Source organism: Homo sapiens, chromosome 8 (genome assembly GCF_000001405.40).
Source record: "Homo sapiens chromosome 8, GRCh38.p14 Primary Assembly".
Classification (NCBI taxonomy): domain Eukaryota; kingdom Metazoa; phylum Chordata; class Mammalia; order Primates; family Hominidae; genus Homo; species Homo sapiens.
In genome coordinates this window covers 48,780,301-48,796,965 of record NC_000008.11, presented here as the reverse complement: position 1 = coordinate 48,796,965, position 16,665 = coordinate 48,780,301, and the positions used below count along the sequence as shown (strand labels likewise).

Sequence of the window (16,665 nt, the reverse complement as noted above, 5' to 3'; positions counted from 1 at the left end):
ACACATTCAAAAGCTAGCAGAAGGCAAGAAATAACTAAAATCAGAGCAGAACTGAAGGAAATAGAGACACAAAAAACCCTTCAAAAAAGTTAATGAATCCAGGAGATGGTTTTTTGAAAGGATCAACAAAATTGATAGACTGCTAGCAAGACTAATAAAGAAAAAAAGAGAGAAGAATCAAATAGACACAATAAAAAATGATAAAGGGGATATCACCACCGATCCCACAGAAATACAAACTACCATCAGAGAATACTACAAACACCTCTACGCAAATAAACTAGAAAATCTAGAAGAAATGGATAAATTCCTCGACACATACACTCTCCCAAGACTAAACCAGGAAGAAATTGAATCTCTGAATAGACCAATAACAGGAGCTGAAATTGTGGCAATAATCAATAGTTTACCAACCAAAAAGAGTCCAGGACCAGATGGATTCACAGCCGAATTCTACCAGAGGTACAAGGAGGAACTGGTACCATTCCTTCTGAAACTATTCCAATCAATAGAAAAAGAGGGAATCCTCCCTAACTCATTTTATGAGGCCAGCATCATTCTGATACCAAAGCCAGGCAGAGACACAACAAAAAAAGAGAATTTTAGACCAATATCCTTGATGAACATTGATGCAAAAATCCTCAATAAAATACTGGCAAAACGAATCCAGCAGCACATCAAAAAGCTTATCCACCATGATCAAGTGGGCTTCATCCCTGGGATGCAAGGCTGGTTCAATATACGGAAATCAATAAATGTAATACAGCATATAAACAGAGCCAAAGACAAAAACCACATGATTATCTCAATAGATGCAGAAAAAGCCTTTGACAAAATTCAACAACCCTTCATGCTAAAAACTCTCAATAAATTAGGTATTGATGGGACGTATTTCAAAATAATAAGAGCTATCTATGACAAACCCACAGCCAATATCATACTGAATGGGCAAAAACTGGAAGCATTCCCTTTGAAAACTGGCACAAGACAGGGATGCCCTCTCTCACCACTCCTATTCAACATAGTGCTGGAAGTTCTGGCCAGGGCAATTAGGGAGGAGAAGGAAATAAAGGGTATTCAATTAGGAAAAGAGGAAGTCAAATTGTCCCTGTTTGCAGATGACATGATTGTATATCTAGAAAACCCCATTGTCTCAGCCCAAAATCTCCTTAAGCTGATAAGCAACTTCAGCAAAGTCTCAGGATACAAAATCAATGTACAAAAATCACAAGCATTCTTATACACCAATAACAGACAAAGAGAGAGCCAAATCATGAGTGAACTCCCATTCACAATTGCTTCAAAGACAATAAAATACCTAGGAATACAACTTACAAGGGATGTGAAGGACCTCTTCAAGGAGAACTACAAACCACTGCTCAAGGAAATAAAAGAGGATACAAACAAATGGAAGAACATTCCATGCTCATGGGTAGGAAGAATCAATATTGTGAAAATGGCCATACTGCCCAAGGTAATTTATAGATTCAATGCCATCGCCATAAAGCTACCAATGACTTTCTTCACAGAATTGGAGAAAACTACTTTAAAGTTCATATGGAACCAAAAAAGAGCCCGCGTCGCCAAGGCAATCCTAAGTCAAAAGAACAAAGCTGGAGGCATCACACTACCTGACTTCAAACTATACTACAAGGCTACAGTAACCAAAACAGCATGGTACTGGTACCAAAACAGAGATATAGATCAATGGAACAGAACAGAGCCCTCAGAAATAACGCCGCATGTCTATAACTATCTGATCTTTGACAAACCTGAGAAAAACAAGCAATGGGGAAAGGATTCCCTATTTAATAAATGGTGCTGGGAAAACTGGCTACCCATATGTAGAAAGCTGAAACTGGATCCCTTCCTTACACCTTATACAAAAATCAATTCAAGATGGATTAAAGACTTAAACGTTAGACCTAAAACCATAAAAACCCTAGAAGAAAACCTAGGCATTACCATTCAGGACATAGGCATGGGCAAGGACTTCATGTCCAAAACACCAAAAGCAATGGCAACAAAAGACAAAATTGACAAATGGGATCTAATTAAACTAAATAGCTTCTGCACAGCAAAAGAAACCACCATCAGAGTGAATAGGCAACCTACAGAATGGGAGAAAATTTTTGCAACCTACTCATCTGACAAAGGGCTGATATCCAGAATCTACAATGAACTTAAACAAATTTACAAGAAAAAAACAAACAACCCCATCAAAAAGTGGGCGAAGGACATGAACAGACACTTCTCAAAAGAAGACATTTATGCAGCCAAAAAACACATGAAAAAATGCTCATCATCACTGGCCATCAGAGAAATGCAAATCAAAACCACAATGAGATACCATCTCACACCAGTTAGAATGGAGATCATTAAAAAGTCAGGAAACAACAGGTGCTGGAGAGGATGTGGAGAAATAGGAACACTTTTACACTGTTGGTGGGACTGTAAACTAGTTCAACCATTGTGGAAGTCAGTGTGGCGATTCCTCAGGGATCTAGAACTAGAAATACCATTTGACCCAGCCATCCCATTACTGGGTATATACCCAAAGGACTACAAATCATGCTGCTATAAAGACACATGGACTCGTATGTTTATTGCGGCACTATTCACAATAGCAAAGACTTGGAACCAACCCAAATGTCCAACAATGATAGACTGGATTAAGAAAATGTGGCACATATACACCATGGAATACTATGCAGCCATAAAAAATGATGAGTTCATGTCCTTTGTAAGGACATGGATGAAATTGGAAATCATCATTCTCAGTAAACTATCACAAGAACAAAAAACCAAACACCGCATATTCTTACTCATAGGTGGGAACTGAACAATGAGATCACATGGACACAGGAAGGGGAATATCACACTCTGGGGACTGTGGTGGGGTGGGGGGAGGGGGGAGGGATAGCATTGGGAGATATACCTAATGGTGGATGACGAGTTAGTGGGTGCAGCACACCAGCATGGCACATGTATACATATGTAACTAACCTGCACAATGTGCACATGTACCCTAAAACTTAAAGTATAATAAAAAAAAGAAAAAAAAATTATTAATAAAATTATAACTTAATAAAAAAACAATTAATAAAAAGGCTCTAACAGAATTTTAGCTGTGTGGTGGGGTATAAACCTTACTTTAAAGGAATCCAGTTAATAAATACTCAAGCTTTTAAAAGCAAAAAAAAATAAAAGAACTGCTCAGTATCTTAACTGTGGTAGTGAAGACACAAACATATTCATGGGATAGAATTGCCCAGGGCTAAATACTTGCATGCACACACACACAAATAAGAATAAGTAAAACTAGGCAAATCTGAAGAACAGTGGGTTATATTAATGTCAACATCCTGGTTGTAATACTGCAAGCCTATAGTTTTGCAAGATGTTCCAATGAGGAAAACTGGTTAAAGGATACAACTACATGTGGATCTGTCATCATCTCAGCAAAAATTTCAATTAAAAAAGTAAACAGTTCCAAAAAGAACAGCTTTAAGGGCAGCAAAGAAGGCAGGAATTTGAGCAATTTCATGCCTCTGAAGTCAGTTTTTATGTGAATAAAGAAATATCCAAAATAGAAAGGATGGAGCAAATTCTAGAGGAAGCAATAACAATAATAGTAGTAGTAAGAAGAAAAGGAAGGATACAGGGAAGAAGAAGAAAAAGGAGTTGCAGAAGGAGGCATATTAGTGTCCCCGTGGATAACCAGATGTCAACGTTTGCCATTTGAACACATGACGCACTAACAGAAGATGTCAATAAATAATGTTTGGAAAAACAACAATAATCAGAAAATTTCGGAACTCTGATCTCAAGAGCTATTTAGTAAGGTTGACACTGGCCATTTTCAAGGTTCACTGTACAATGTTAAAACTCTTGTGTGACACAAGCTTGGGCTTCCTTAATAAACAAAGTGAAGTTTCCTGTGTCAGTAGGAGAGGTCAGGAGTAAGGAGTTCACCAGCCCTGCCTAACTGAGGCAGTCTCCCCTTAGCACCCTTCCAAAGACACCCAGCAGCATAAATACAGTCCTATCATCAAGGATGGATGTGGCAGCCACAAATGATGGGAGACTCTTCAGGTCCATCTCACAAGGAGGGGAGTAGAAAGACTGGTATTTGTATAATGGCCTTCAGTTTCCAGATGTCAAAGATTCCCTCAGGCTTCCTCTGCCAGAAAGCTTCAACAAGGTATAGCACAGACAAGATCTATGACACATAGAAGTTTGGATCAATAATGTGGAAAAGTGAGCCTCCCTGGAGGCTCTGGGCTTTCACAGCACTATGCCTCAGTGTCTGGGCTTTCCTCCTTTTTTTTTCTGCACCTGCACCCGTATTGAGTCAGCATCTGCTCCCATCACATGAGCCAGGTAAAGATGCATTTGGTCGAGCAGATTGCATCTCCTCATCTGGCCTGACATTTGTCTGTCATGCTGTGGCTGGAATGTGATACCTAGTCGACAAAACACAGCCCTCACACATGTCAGAAGGCCCTTTGTTCCACCAGCAAGCCCCTGCTGCTTGGGGTCCTCTGATGGCTCCGGGATTCAGGCCTGTCTCTTCTTGGTTCTTTCAAGACAAATGGCCAGATCACAAGAAAGGAGGTGCTGCTCAGTTCAACATCCGTACCTCCCCATACAAACACACCTCTGCCTGCATGCTTCAGAGTCAATCCTGGAGGCTTCGGAATCCTGTGCACACTCATGTGTGTGCCTGTGTGTGAGAGTGTGCTCAGCTCTGATCTTTTGTTTTTATCTTGAGCCTTGTCCTGAGAGTTCTTGGCATCTTGGATGAGGTGGCAAAATAACAGCAGGGGGCAATGGCTCAAAGGAAGGACTCTGCAAGCAGTCACAGATGCGAAGCATCTGCATCTAGGAGAGAGAAAACAAGAACTCCATAGTCCAAAAGTGCATCACAACAACCTCCCTGCTCCCTCTGAAGGAATTATAAACAGCGCTCAAGAATCTTAGGAAAAGAAGTGTGGAAAATGTCTCATTTACATTCTCTGAAAACTCCATTCATAGCACATATCCCATGTATATAACAGAGGATGTTATGTTTTTGAAAAAGACCTCCTTATCATTATCATTTCCTGATGCACTGGATATATCTGATGGATGCATCCGTCTCCTAAGGCCAGCAGACAGAGTTATGATGAGCTGGCTTCACCCTCTCAGTGAAGTTCTTTCTTCATCAACGCTCCTCTGAGCGAGAAACCCCTCAGTCAGCTCTGAAACTACCATGAATGAATTACTTACATCCTAAATGTCCTTGCATTTGTACTAACCCCTACTCATGCATAACAGCTTATGCTAAACTCCAGTCAGACTGAAAAGTATTAATCCTAGGCTCCTTACAAGCAGATTGGAAGATCTAACAATATGTGAGATTTTTAAGAGTGATTACAGAAATTTATCACTAAGATGGCTTTTTTTTTTTTTGGTCTTTTTTGAGTCTGAATGGAGTGCTGTCAGCATCTCACTCCTTCCTTAAGAGGAGGCATGCTGACTGGCACAGGGACAGTGGTACAGTGTCTCTACCAAGTTGCTGGACTCTTTTCAAGCCTTTCGTAAGATTTCCTCTATATATGGTCCCTTGACATTCTCTGCAAGGCCCCATGTTTGAGGGCCAGGCTGGTGAGGGGAAAGGGGCCTGATGTGTATGAGCCCTTCCTGGAAGGGGCATGACTCCAAATACCACAGTGCATGCTGCTGAAGGATGCATGGACCCGATGAAGAGACCTTAGTATTGGTTGGGAATTCGAACAAGGTCATCTCCTCAGTACCTTCCAATTCTAAGATACTGCTATTCTAAAATTAAGTCAATGCTGGATAAGAGGAATGGTATTCGTGGGCCCAGGCAGGGGGTCTCAAAGCAGGGCTCTCTGCAACATTTGGTTCCCTGAATACAATCTGGATGATGGCTGTGGCTTCTACATTTTCTGCAAAGCAATACAGGGCAGTCCTGATCCCCGAATCCTTCTATTTCCTTGACACCAGACCCTCATCAAGCAGGCAGGTGCTGTGCAGCCACACACCACTTCTGAACCTGCTAGTACCCTGAAGTTCATTTTGCATCTGAGCGGCTCGTTCAACAATTAAAACCTGTCTTTTTTTTATAGGCTCAGTTTCTTGTTAAACTGGATCCTGAACCAACAACTCCAACCTAGCCACTGCGTTCAGTGCAACAGAGTGTCCAAAGACGAGCACATCAGGGACCTGGCCATCAAATAACTTTGATGGTGGGCCAGGCAGAAGACGTTATCATCATGACGTCTCAGGTCATGATGCCAGGGAAGAATAAATAAATGCAAGGTGCCAGGGAAGAATAAATAAATGCAAGACTTACATTGTCTTAATGGATTGGGGGCACTTTTGTGGAGTAGATAAATAGCCTTTGAAAAATGGTTAGGATTTCAACAATTAGAAGGAAGGGGCATGGACATAACTAGAAAGCAAGTTATAGGCTAAGAGAGCAAAGTCAGCAAAGGAAAAGAGGCACAGAGGTGCAGCTGTGACCGGCTATGCAGAAGGTAGGCTCGGGCCCAGGCACGCTGGGGCCAAGGGAGCAAGAGGAGCAGGCGGATAGATGGGCTCCCTGGACACCAGACTGATGAGTTTGGACGCTGTTTCTCCAGCAGCGGATGATGACTGAAGGAGTCTGAGCAAGGGGTGCTGTGCTCAGGATACTCCTGGGTGTGTGACAGTCAGACCTAAGGTGTGGCTGGGAGGCAAAGGGTCAGGAACTAGGAGTGCTTTGCCCCTGGGAGCTTGTTTCCACTTGGGGCCTGGCGCCTACCCCTTATTCCGCCATCCACTCTACCCACAGCATCCGTCCTGAAGCAAAGTAGGAATCTTTTTCTAAAGAAACTCGTTTTAAATTGAAGACTCTTGAAAAAACCCTGAAAATCCAAAAGGCATGCCTCCGCCGCTGGAAGGGAGCCCTCCAGGAGGGAATGGAAGAGGCCTGGAGGAGAAGGCGAAGGCAAAGGCGCGCACCAAGCCTGCTTCTCAGAGTTGGCGCCTCCCCGGGAATCCCCCAACCCTGGACCTGGCCTGAAAGCAAGGCACCAGCTTTTAGATCCCCTGATGAGTCCTGTCTTTTTCTCAGGCTTCAGGATTCCATTTCGCTGCTCCGAATAAGGCGTCAGGTCTGGAAGGCCGCCGGGCGGAGGCGCAGAGCCCTGACACCACCCCATCCAGAGCACGCAGCCCAGCGCGAGGGAGCAGGGGCCCGGCCACCTCACCTCCGCCACACCCGCGGCTTCTTCCTTCCTGCCAGAGAATCGCAAAGGCTCTCTGCTCAGAGTCCGTCACCCACATTCATGTCTTTAATTGCCTTGTATAAGGAGTCATTTAATTTTTGACCTGTTTCTATAGGTTGATAAACGAAACAGAGAACAAAAGAAAGTTGCCAACAACAAAACAACAACTTAAAGCCAAATTCTTGGTAAGTATAGACTTTTCAAAACCATGAGAAAATGGAAAACGTTTTCAAAAATTCCATTGGCCAAATCTAGTGATAGTGATTTAGATACATCTTCCTTTTCTAGTGACAAAGCACAAAGCGACCAGCTAAGGACCCAGGGGGCAGGCACAGAGCTGGTCAAATCTCTCCTCTCACAAAAGCTCCATGGGCAAGCTTATGATTTTTTAAAGTCAAGAGAAAACACACACAGAAAAGGAACTTTCCTACATTTCTCTACTAGCAAATGGCCTGGCCCCGCCTCTCACTTTCCAGGTTCAGGGTTTGCCTCCAGGTGGTAGAAGGCTCTGGGGCTGGCCACCCCGCTCCTGGAGGGGCCACCTTACAAGGGGACCAGGCATTCTCCTGCAGATTCCGCCCAGCAGGGAAAGGGCTGCACTCTCAGGAGCTTCCTTGCTGACCTGCTCTCAGCAGAGAGGAAATGGCCTCCCTCCCATCTTGGCTGCAGAGCCGGCAAGCATAAAGGGCTGAAAAGGAGGGTGGAGCATGATTCATTCTTAGCTGAAAAGTGACTCAAAAAGGAAATTGCCTGGTGTGCCGGATGACACAGTGCATCGTAACCTGCTGTGACCAGGCCTGTCTGTCATGCAGCTGTCTACCTTTCCCTTGGAAGCCAGTCAAGTGGACACCGGCACACTCCAACCTCCAGCCAGCACACGGTGACTAACAGGTCTCTCCTCGGCTGAACCTCTCACTCTGACCACTCCCAGCTCTGCACCATGGCTGCCATGCAGTCACATTAAGGCTGGAAGAAAAGTAGAAACCATTTCCATACAAAGGAGGGACCTGCTGGGGTGCCCAGGAGGAGAAAAAGAGCCACACTTAGAATTCTCAGAAATGATGTTTTAACTTCCCCACCATAAATGTTTCCTGTCTCATGCTCATAACTGTCCCTAAGTCACCTGCAAAAAAAGGGGAAAATGGTACTTTTGATTTTACAATTTCTTTCTTTTTATTTCTTTTCTCTTTCTCTTTCTTTCATTTCTCGGTATTTCTTTTTATTTCTTTCTGGGATGTATGCACCTTAAACTTTAAACACAGCAGGTACTAAAAAATAAAGATTAGATTGAAGTATATGAAACTGATATTTTGGTAAGTCAAAAATGGACAAATATCCTCAATTTATATCGTTCAATCTAACAGACGACATGAAAGGGTAGTCAAAGCTTCTAAAGCTGCTAAATTGTCTTTCCCTGGGCTTCACTGGCACTGGTGAGTTGCTGGCCTAGTTTGCTGCCAGGTGCACGCTAACCTCCTTACCTGGTCAGTCCCCACCAGCTGCTCCCTGAGGTGCCCAGAAGCTGGCCCATGGTCATCACTGCCTTTCTCCCCACCAAGGAGATGCCAGGCCCTTTCCACAGCTACACATAAAGTCGGTGTTGTGTTGAATTCTGGGCAAAGTTCACAACAAACTAGCCCCATGGGTTTGCCATAGAGTCTGCCACTGTCACTGTGGCCAGAGGAGCCCTGGAGCTCCTCCCACACCTCATGAGAATGGCCAGTGACATGCCAGAGCTCCTGGTGCTTCAGGTGAAGAAGACCCTCTTGTAAATCCATCTCAGTCCACTCCCATATTCCCTGAACTGGGCTGGGAGGGAGCCAGCTCCACTGGGACAGGGAATCCCTGCTGTACTCCCAGGTCACAGTGAATGTGTGTTGGCAAATCCCATCCTCCCAAGATGTCAAAGTGGATGCAGAAGAGGAACACGAGACACACACACACACACACACACACACCCCTTCTTACACCCAGGACAAAACACCACAGTTTTTCTGAAAGTTTTGTTGTCCTCTGGTGAGTACTGTTTTCCTTCCTTCCTTCCTTCCTTCATTGAAGATTTTGTTGCATGTTTACTGTATACCAGACATTGCACTTTTCCAACAAAAACAATCAAGACTCAGACGCCTCTCGGAAAGCTTAGGTTCTACAAAGAGGGAATGAGTACACACACAAGCAACCCACTAATGCCTCTGCTGTATGAATATAAAGGGAGGAGCCGTTTATGCTGCCTGAGGAAGTCAGTGGGTATGCATGGTGTGCGGTGATACTGCTCAGCCCACCAACAGTGAATGCATAATACAGACTGATTGATGATTGATTGATTGAAAATGAGGGAAGGAGCTGCTCACCCTCTAAGTGCCAGTCATTGTTCTAGGTGCTGGGAGCAAAGTTGTGAGTAAAACACAAATCTGTTCCTTCAAATGAAGTGGGTTTGACAAACATGATATTTAGAATTGCATTTGGGGGGAAAAAAAGAATTTTTAAAAGAGAAAGCAGAATAAGGAATTCTGAGCAGAAGGAACACCATGAGGTAATGAAAGTTCATGGGATGTACGGAGTCCGGATAGAAAAACTCCAGAGTCAGAAAGGTTCAGAATCTAATGAATTTTAGAGAAAAAAAATATGAAAAATGGTAGTATATCCTGGTCTCTGCTTTTGTCTCTATTAAAATTGTTATCAACATTTCCAGACCTCTCCCTAGTCACCAAAATAGGAAGGAGAAAATAAAGGAAATCAATCTGGCATTTTAATTTGTCTCTATTTCTGGCAATTTACCTCTAACCCAAATAGAATGGACAGTTGAAATGGGTCCTTAGGGGCAGGTGGGAGTGAACTGGGCTAGAAACAGCCTGTCATCAGGAGAGAATCCTTCCTCATGCCACACCCACTCGGCCCTTGGGGTTTGTTTCCTTGGTCTGTTTCCTGTCCCAAAGCTTAAACCTCTTCGCTCTCTCCAATTCCTAATAAAGTAAACACTGAAGAACAACTCAGCAAACTTAGACTTCTAAGATTGCATTTTTATTGTATTGTGGTGAAATGTACAGACAGGGAAATGCACAGACTATAAGAATACAATCATATCCCTTTCTAGACAATGCCACCCGTGCAGAGACAACCACCCTTCTGCCTGTTACCACCATAGATTAATTTTGCCTGTTCTCAAACTTAATACAAATGGAATCATGAAGTATATGCTTTTTAGGGTCTGACTTCTCTCCCTCTGCATAATGTTCTTGAGATTCATGCATGATGTTTTATTTATCAATAGTTTGTTTCCTTTTATTTTTAAGTAGTAGTCCATTTTATGGCTACCAAACTGTTTATCCATTCTCTTTTGACAGACATTTGGTTTTTTCCATGTTTTTGCTTTTATAGACAAAGCTGCCATGAATATTCTTATTTTAGTCTTTTTCGGTTTTTATTTCTCTTGTAAATACCTGGAAATGGAATGGCTGGGCTCTGAAGCAACTGTATGTTTAACTTTATAAGAAGCTGCCAAATTGTTTTCCAAGATGGTTGTACCATTTTACATTCCCACCAGCAGCATTTGAGAGTTTCAGTTGCTGGATAGCCTTGTCAACATTTGGTGCTGTCAGTCTTTCCAATTTTAAGTATGCTAATGCGTATAAAATTGTATGTCATGGTTTTCATTTGCATTTTTGTAGGATCTTGATCACTTTTTCATGTACTTGTTGACCATTCCTCTCTTCTTTAGAGAAGTGTCTTTTGCACATTTAAATGAATTATATATGTAATGTATTTATTTTTATAGAAGTCCTTTGTCACATATATGTATTGTAAATATTTTTATTTACATCTGTAGCTTGCATTTTCATTTTCTTAATGGTTTCTTTTGATGAGCAGTTTTAGTTTTGATGAAGTCCAATTTATCAGTCTTTGTTTCCTTTTTGTTTTTAACTTGCTCTGTCCTCCCTCAGAAATCTTTGCCTACTTCAAAGGTTGCAAAGATATTGTTCAGTGTTGTCTTACAGAAGCCTTAGACTCTTAGTTTTTGTGGTTAAGTTTATGATACATCTTAAATTAATTTTGTGTGTTTGTGAATGATAAAGATTGAGTCATTTTTTCACACTTTTATGTAGCTGAACAGGTGTCATTCTGATGACAACAATGGCCTTGAACGTCTGTCAAAAAAATCACTTGACCATGTATGTGTAGGTCTGTTTCTGAACTCTCCATTCTCTTCCATTGATCTACTTGTCTATTCTTAAAGCAATAACCCACTATTATAATTAATATAGGTCAATAGAAAAAAAACTGATGTCAGATAATGAGTCCTCCAATGTGTTTCTCTTTCTCCACACAACCCCCACCACCCAGCAATGTATCGGTTTTCTTAGGTGCTTTGCTTTCCCAAATATCTTTTAGAATCAGCTGGCCTTTTCTTTTACAAAGTGCCATTGGAATTTTGGTTGAGACTGTGTTGAATCAATAGATCAATTTGAGGAGAAACAACACAAGAAAGACAGTGTGTCCTCCAGCCATGAGCATGGTTATTACTCTCCATTCATTTAGGCCTCCTGTAATTTCTCTCAGCAGTGCCTTATAGTTTTCAATGTAGTAATCTTGGATGTCTTTTCTTGAACTTATTGTTTTATTTTGTATGTGTGTTATTATAGATGGATTATTTTTGTTTAATTTTTCAAGTCTTTGCTGCAAGTATATAGAAATACAATTCATTTTTGTATATAGTTCATGTATTTTACAACTACTGAATTCACTATGGTTTCTAGCAGTTGCTTTGAAGATTCCTTAGATAGCTGTGTAAACCATAATATCATCTGCAAATAAAATAATTTTACTTCTTCTCTCGCAATTATTATGCCCTTTATTTATATTTCTTACCTTGCTACAGTGGCTGGAGCCTTCGGTAGTATGTTGAATTCAAGTAATGAGAATGGATACCTTCACTTTGGTCTCAATCTCTGGGGGAAGATGTTCAATATTTCACCATTAAACATGATATCAGATGTAGGGGTATTTTAGATCAAGATCCTTCATCGATTAAGAAAATGCCTTTTTACTCCTAGTATACTGCAAGTTTTTATCATGAATGAGTATTAAACTTTAATGAATGCTTTTTCTGTATCTACAGCCATGATCAGATAATTCTCCTTTATGCTGTTAACAAAGTAATCTACATTGATTTATATTTAAATATTAAACCAACTTTGCCTTCCTAGTATAAACCCTGCTTGGTCATAATGTACTGTCCTTTTTGTAGATTGCTGGATTCAGTTTTCTAATATTTTATTTAGGATTCTTGCATTTATGTTCCTTAGAAACATTGGTCTATAATTTTCTTTTCACAGTCATTAGCAGAAATAGAACTCTTAATTGTAAACTATATTCATGAGATTTCTGATAGCATTTACAAAATTTTAGCAAAAATTACTCTAGTTGAATAACTTGGAAATTCAATGTGTTAACATCTTTTCTTATGCAAGATAAATTTCATATTCCTAAATGCTTAGATTACCAAAAAGTGAGACCATTCTATTACCTTTTATGACATAAGTCAAGAAACATGCACATGATTCCACGTCAAAAGAACAAGTTTCCAAAAGATAGGTTGTGAGTGTTCATTTCTATACAGTCTTTAAAAGTGAAGCAAGTCAGGTCACTCCGTAAGCCACTGTTTTTCCTCCAGGATAAGTCAACCTTGTAAATAAGTCTAAGTATCCCCTCCTACCCAAATGATGCCTTGCTGACTTCATCCCAACACAGAATGGTGGAGATTGGCTAGGATGGAGAAAAATCTTCCAAAATACTCCCCTTCCAGGGTCCCCAGGTTTTTCCCCTCCGGGCTGTCCTAGTGTGCACTGGTCTACAGAGTGAGACAGTGGAGCTGCTGGCAGCCACGCTCAGGCAGCAGCTTACACTGGCTAGAGAGGAGGTCCTGAATGTGAAGACCAGACTGTGTTTTCCATGTTTGTATAACTTTGCTCTGGTACTGTCTATATACCTATGCCATGTATAAATCAATACCATGGCACAAAGAGGCATACAGCCTAACCAAACAAAGAACTCCCAGAAAGTAGCTTTTCCCTCATGCAATGAATTACGTTTCCTAGCTTGACTTAGGAAATGAAGAACGTTTAAGGTGGTCATATGAATAAAGTAGACAAGAAAGCACAGAGCTCAAATAGGATTTGGGGGGATTTGGAGTATAAGCTGCATACATTTTCTCAAGCAGTTAATTAAAGAAAGGAAGACTGATCACTGACCTTGCCATGGAGTGTCAAGGGCGAACTCTGCTCCAAGTGCTTTCCTGTGCAGCAGACCGAATCCTCACAATAGCTAAGCACAGTGGTGATTAACATTTACCACTTAGTAAGAAACGCATGCCAATAGGTGCTTAGTAGCACTTACAAGGTGTCAATGCTGCAGGGAGGGAGTCAGGATTCTAGCAGATACAATTCTAACTTTGATGTCTTTCTCCTTCATCACATTTCTTTTTACAATGAGCTCTCAAGACCAAGCCAAAAATACTTAACCATTCACAGACACAGGCACCACATTGATGGCATTCCCCATGTAGTGAATAAGGAGCTCTGCAGAGTTTCCTCAGCCTGGGCTTGGCTTCAGCTGCACCATTCAATAGTCGTTGGAGGATGCAAAAGGAGTAGAGTTTACATGAAAAACTGTGGTGGAATTTTTCTACCTTAGTGGTGCCCCAAGTGCTGAAGCTGGGCCCACCAAGGATTCAGCATATAAATTAGTCACTTATGGGACGGTTTGCAGAGCAGGTCCGAACTGGGGGTGGTCCCCCTGGGGGTGCAGTAACATACTTTGACATCAATATGGGATATTTTGTCATTGTAGAAGAAGGATATTTTGACCATTATTACTTTGTCCTAAGAATGGAGAAATAAAAGGCAATGAGGATTACTGTGGGATTGGGCTGATGTCTCAGCAGTGGAGAAGTTGTTTGCAAGTAGCCTTTGTTCAATGGTCACAAGCAGGTGGTAGTCTGTGTATTGGGTGCAGAGACGGGACCCTTTTGAGTATCTGCAGCCTCAGGAATATCAGTAATGGTCATTACTTGACACCAGTCTTGCCTTTTCCCCATGAGCACCGCCAGTGGTGGAGGGCTGAGAGAACATCTGCCAAGGGTGACACTTTAACCACAAGGGGAGCATTTCAGACCCACAGAGGCAGTCCTTACAGTGGACAGAACCAGGAGTGGAGCTTTTCAAACCCACAGAGGCAGTCCTTACAGGTGATGGAGCTCTATAAGGGGCCTATCTGAGTTGGTGACGGTCAGAACCACAGTAATTTGGTCATTACTGTTACAGTGATCTTATTCATTCATTTTGAAATCTGTATTTAGCACACTCCACAGGTCTTAGCACTGTGCTAAATGCTAGAGATACAATAGTGACCAAATCTCCACTGCCTTCATGGAACTAACACTCCATTAAAACGGCATTATTCAAATAAAAATCAGTGTATAATTGCAAAATATGACCATTACTATGAGAAACAGCAATGTGTCTATGAAGGCATAATCGGAGCTCCTGACCAAGGCCAGGCGATCAGAGGAGAGGAAGATGCTGGAGGAATTTAAAAGGCAATGAGGGAGCAGAGGCCTCCATGATGCCTCCTTGGTCTAGGGTGTGCTGCGGATGGACAGCATGCCACCTGCTAAGACGCCATGGCCTGGCATGGCAAGTCACAGAGTTTGCCAACTGCATGGAAGCACAGCAAGCACTGTGGCTGGTCCTTCATTCATTCCACACACAGGAAATACTTAATTCATGCTCAGAAGGCACTAAGCACTTTGCCAGACATGCCTTCAATGTCAAACCTCTTTTTACTCACATTTTGGAGTTCCTTTTATGCAAAATCTTTAGATTCCAATAAAAGTAGCCCATTTGTAAAAATTCACCAGGCAGGCAGCTAAATTGCCTCTTTCTAATTTTTTGTCACATGCAGCCAAATCTCAGTGGAAGTGCTCTGAAGCACATGCACAGAAATAGGCTCTAAAGAAATAGATCCGTTTTTTGTTTGCTTGGTTTTCAGCTTTCTTCTGTTGGAAGGGTTTTGTGCTTTTCATTTTGTTTTGTTTTAACATCAAAAAGAAGCTGTTCAGCAAATGTATAACTTAGAGATTGTGGGGCTTATTGCTTGAGTAATAGTTTCTGTGTTTTTTTAATCCTGTGAGAGATTCTGTAAAATTCCAGACCTTTGAAAATCATTTTAATAAGTAGAATATTGTTTTCTTTCTTCAAATATACCCCTTAGATGTTTATTCTAACATGAAGGCTTTTCTAAGTTATCAAATAACCACCATAGAATAATTTCCATTGAGAACAGAAATGCTTATGCTTAGTCGCATCCCCACTGATTGTATTTATTCGTTCAATAAATACTTTTTAAGTGGCCTCTATACTGTGAGCCAGTCACTCTTAGGTAACTGAGCTAAATGCCATTCTTTTATGATCTTCAATTTATAAATGTGATTAGAAAGTTTTTCTTCTTTGTAATTATATATGTACATATATTAACGGTATAATGCATACATATGCATATAAATACACATATAACTGTATAGTTAGGAATGCATCAGCTGTAGATATTAAAAAGTTAACTATCTTACAGCATAGGGTTTTCCATGGAAATCTAAATAAGAGACGCAAGAGTTTTAACAAGAAAAAGAATATAATATCTATTTGACTTATTGTATCATAAATTACTTCATGAGACTTTAAACAAACTTGCCCTGAATTAAAACCAGAGTGTTAAAAGAAAAGAAAAACCATTGAGGAAAAAAGCAAAATAAATATCTCACCGCTCTCTTCTCTCAGCCGGATTCAGTGGCCCTGTGCATGGGAAACTGGCAGGCCCAAAAGTCACCTGGGAGTTCCATCTCTAGTGTGGATACGGACAAATGCCAGAGGCGGGTCAGCTTCTCAGTCGTCACCACTGGCTTCATTCTGTTTGTGTCTGTTTTGTGACTTCAGCCAAATGTCCAGTCCTGCAAGAGCCAATGTAACTGAGCATAGGCAATCAGCTTCCTAGGGTCCTCTGTGCCTTTGTTATGTCCTCTCAAACCCTTGCTGGAACCTGTGATATGATCAAACAAACAAAATGGGGCAAACACGTGGGTGATAGGTAGACAAAGTGACCGCACAGGATACATTGGGCTTCTCTGCTAGATTCCACCATGTAACCAGAGCACAAGTAAATCCTTTAGTGGTGCTCTCCAAATCAGAGTCCTGTGCTTGAGTTTCACACCATAGCTGTAAGGGATGATTTCTTTCCTGGAGAAGATATGAGGAGCTTTGAACAAAGTTTGTCTTGGTGACCTAAAGAAATGCATCTCTCAATAAGGTAAAAAGGGTTTTGAGGGACTCTTCACTGA

The 16,665-nt window shown here is 41.5% G+C and overlaps 1 long non-coding RNA gene across 2 annotated transcripts in view, besides 2 other annotated features; it reads right to left on the bottom strand.

Annotated features, from left to right (window-relative positions):
* The window catches only part of LOC105375825 (uncharacterized), a 47,970-nt gene extending 31,612 nt beyond the window's left edge, over window positions 1-16,358 (bottom strand). Inside the window, exons 1-3 of one of the 2 annotated variants that reach the window (XR_001745894.2) lie at window positions 16,093-16,358; window positions 13,526-13,598; window positions 12,144-12,223 (exon numbers count right to left, since the gene is read on the bottom strand). This is a non-coding gene — a long non-coding RNA (uncharacterized LOC105375825). The remainder of the gene's footprint in view (window positions 1-12,143; window positions 12,224-13,525; window positions 13,599-16,092) is intronic. The other variant, XR_928859.3, reaches the window with a different exon arrangement.
* Window positions 7,401-8,600: an enhancer, noted in NCBI's record as "P300/CBP strongly-dependent group 1 enhancer chr8:49700925-49702124 (GRCh37/hg19 assembly coordinates)". NCBI's record gives its function as "activates an origin of replication core promoter dependent on BRD2, BRD4, P300/CBP, MED14 and CDK7 cofactors, with strong dependence on P300/CBP, by STARR-seq in HCT116 cells {active_cell/tissue: HCT116}" and the evidence as "EXISTENCE:reporter gene assay evidence [ECO:0000049][PMID:35650434]".
* Window positions 8,092-8,191: an enhancer, noted in NCBI's record as "active region_27333". NCBI's record gives its function as "activates an Ori minimal core promoter by ATAC-STARR-seq in GM12878 lymphoblastoid cells {active_cell/tissue: GM12878}" and the evidence as "EXISTENCE:reporter gene assay evidence [ECO:0000049][PMID:35858748]".
* Window positions 16,359-16,665: the final 307 nt, after the last annotated feature.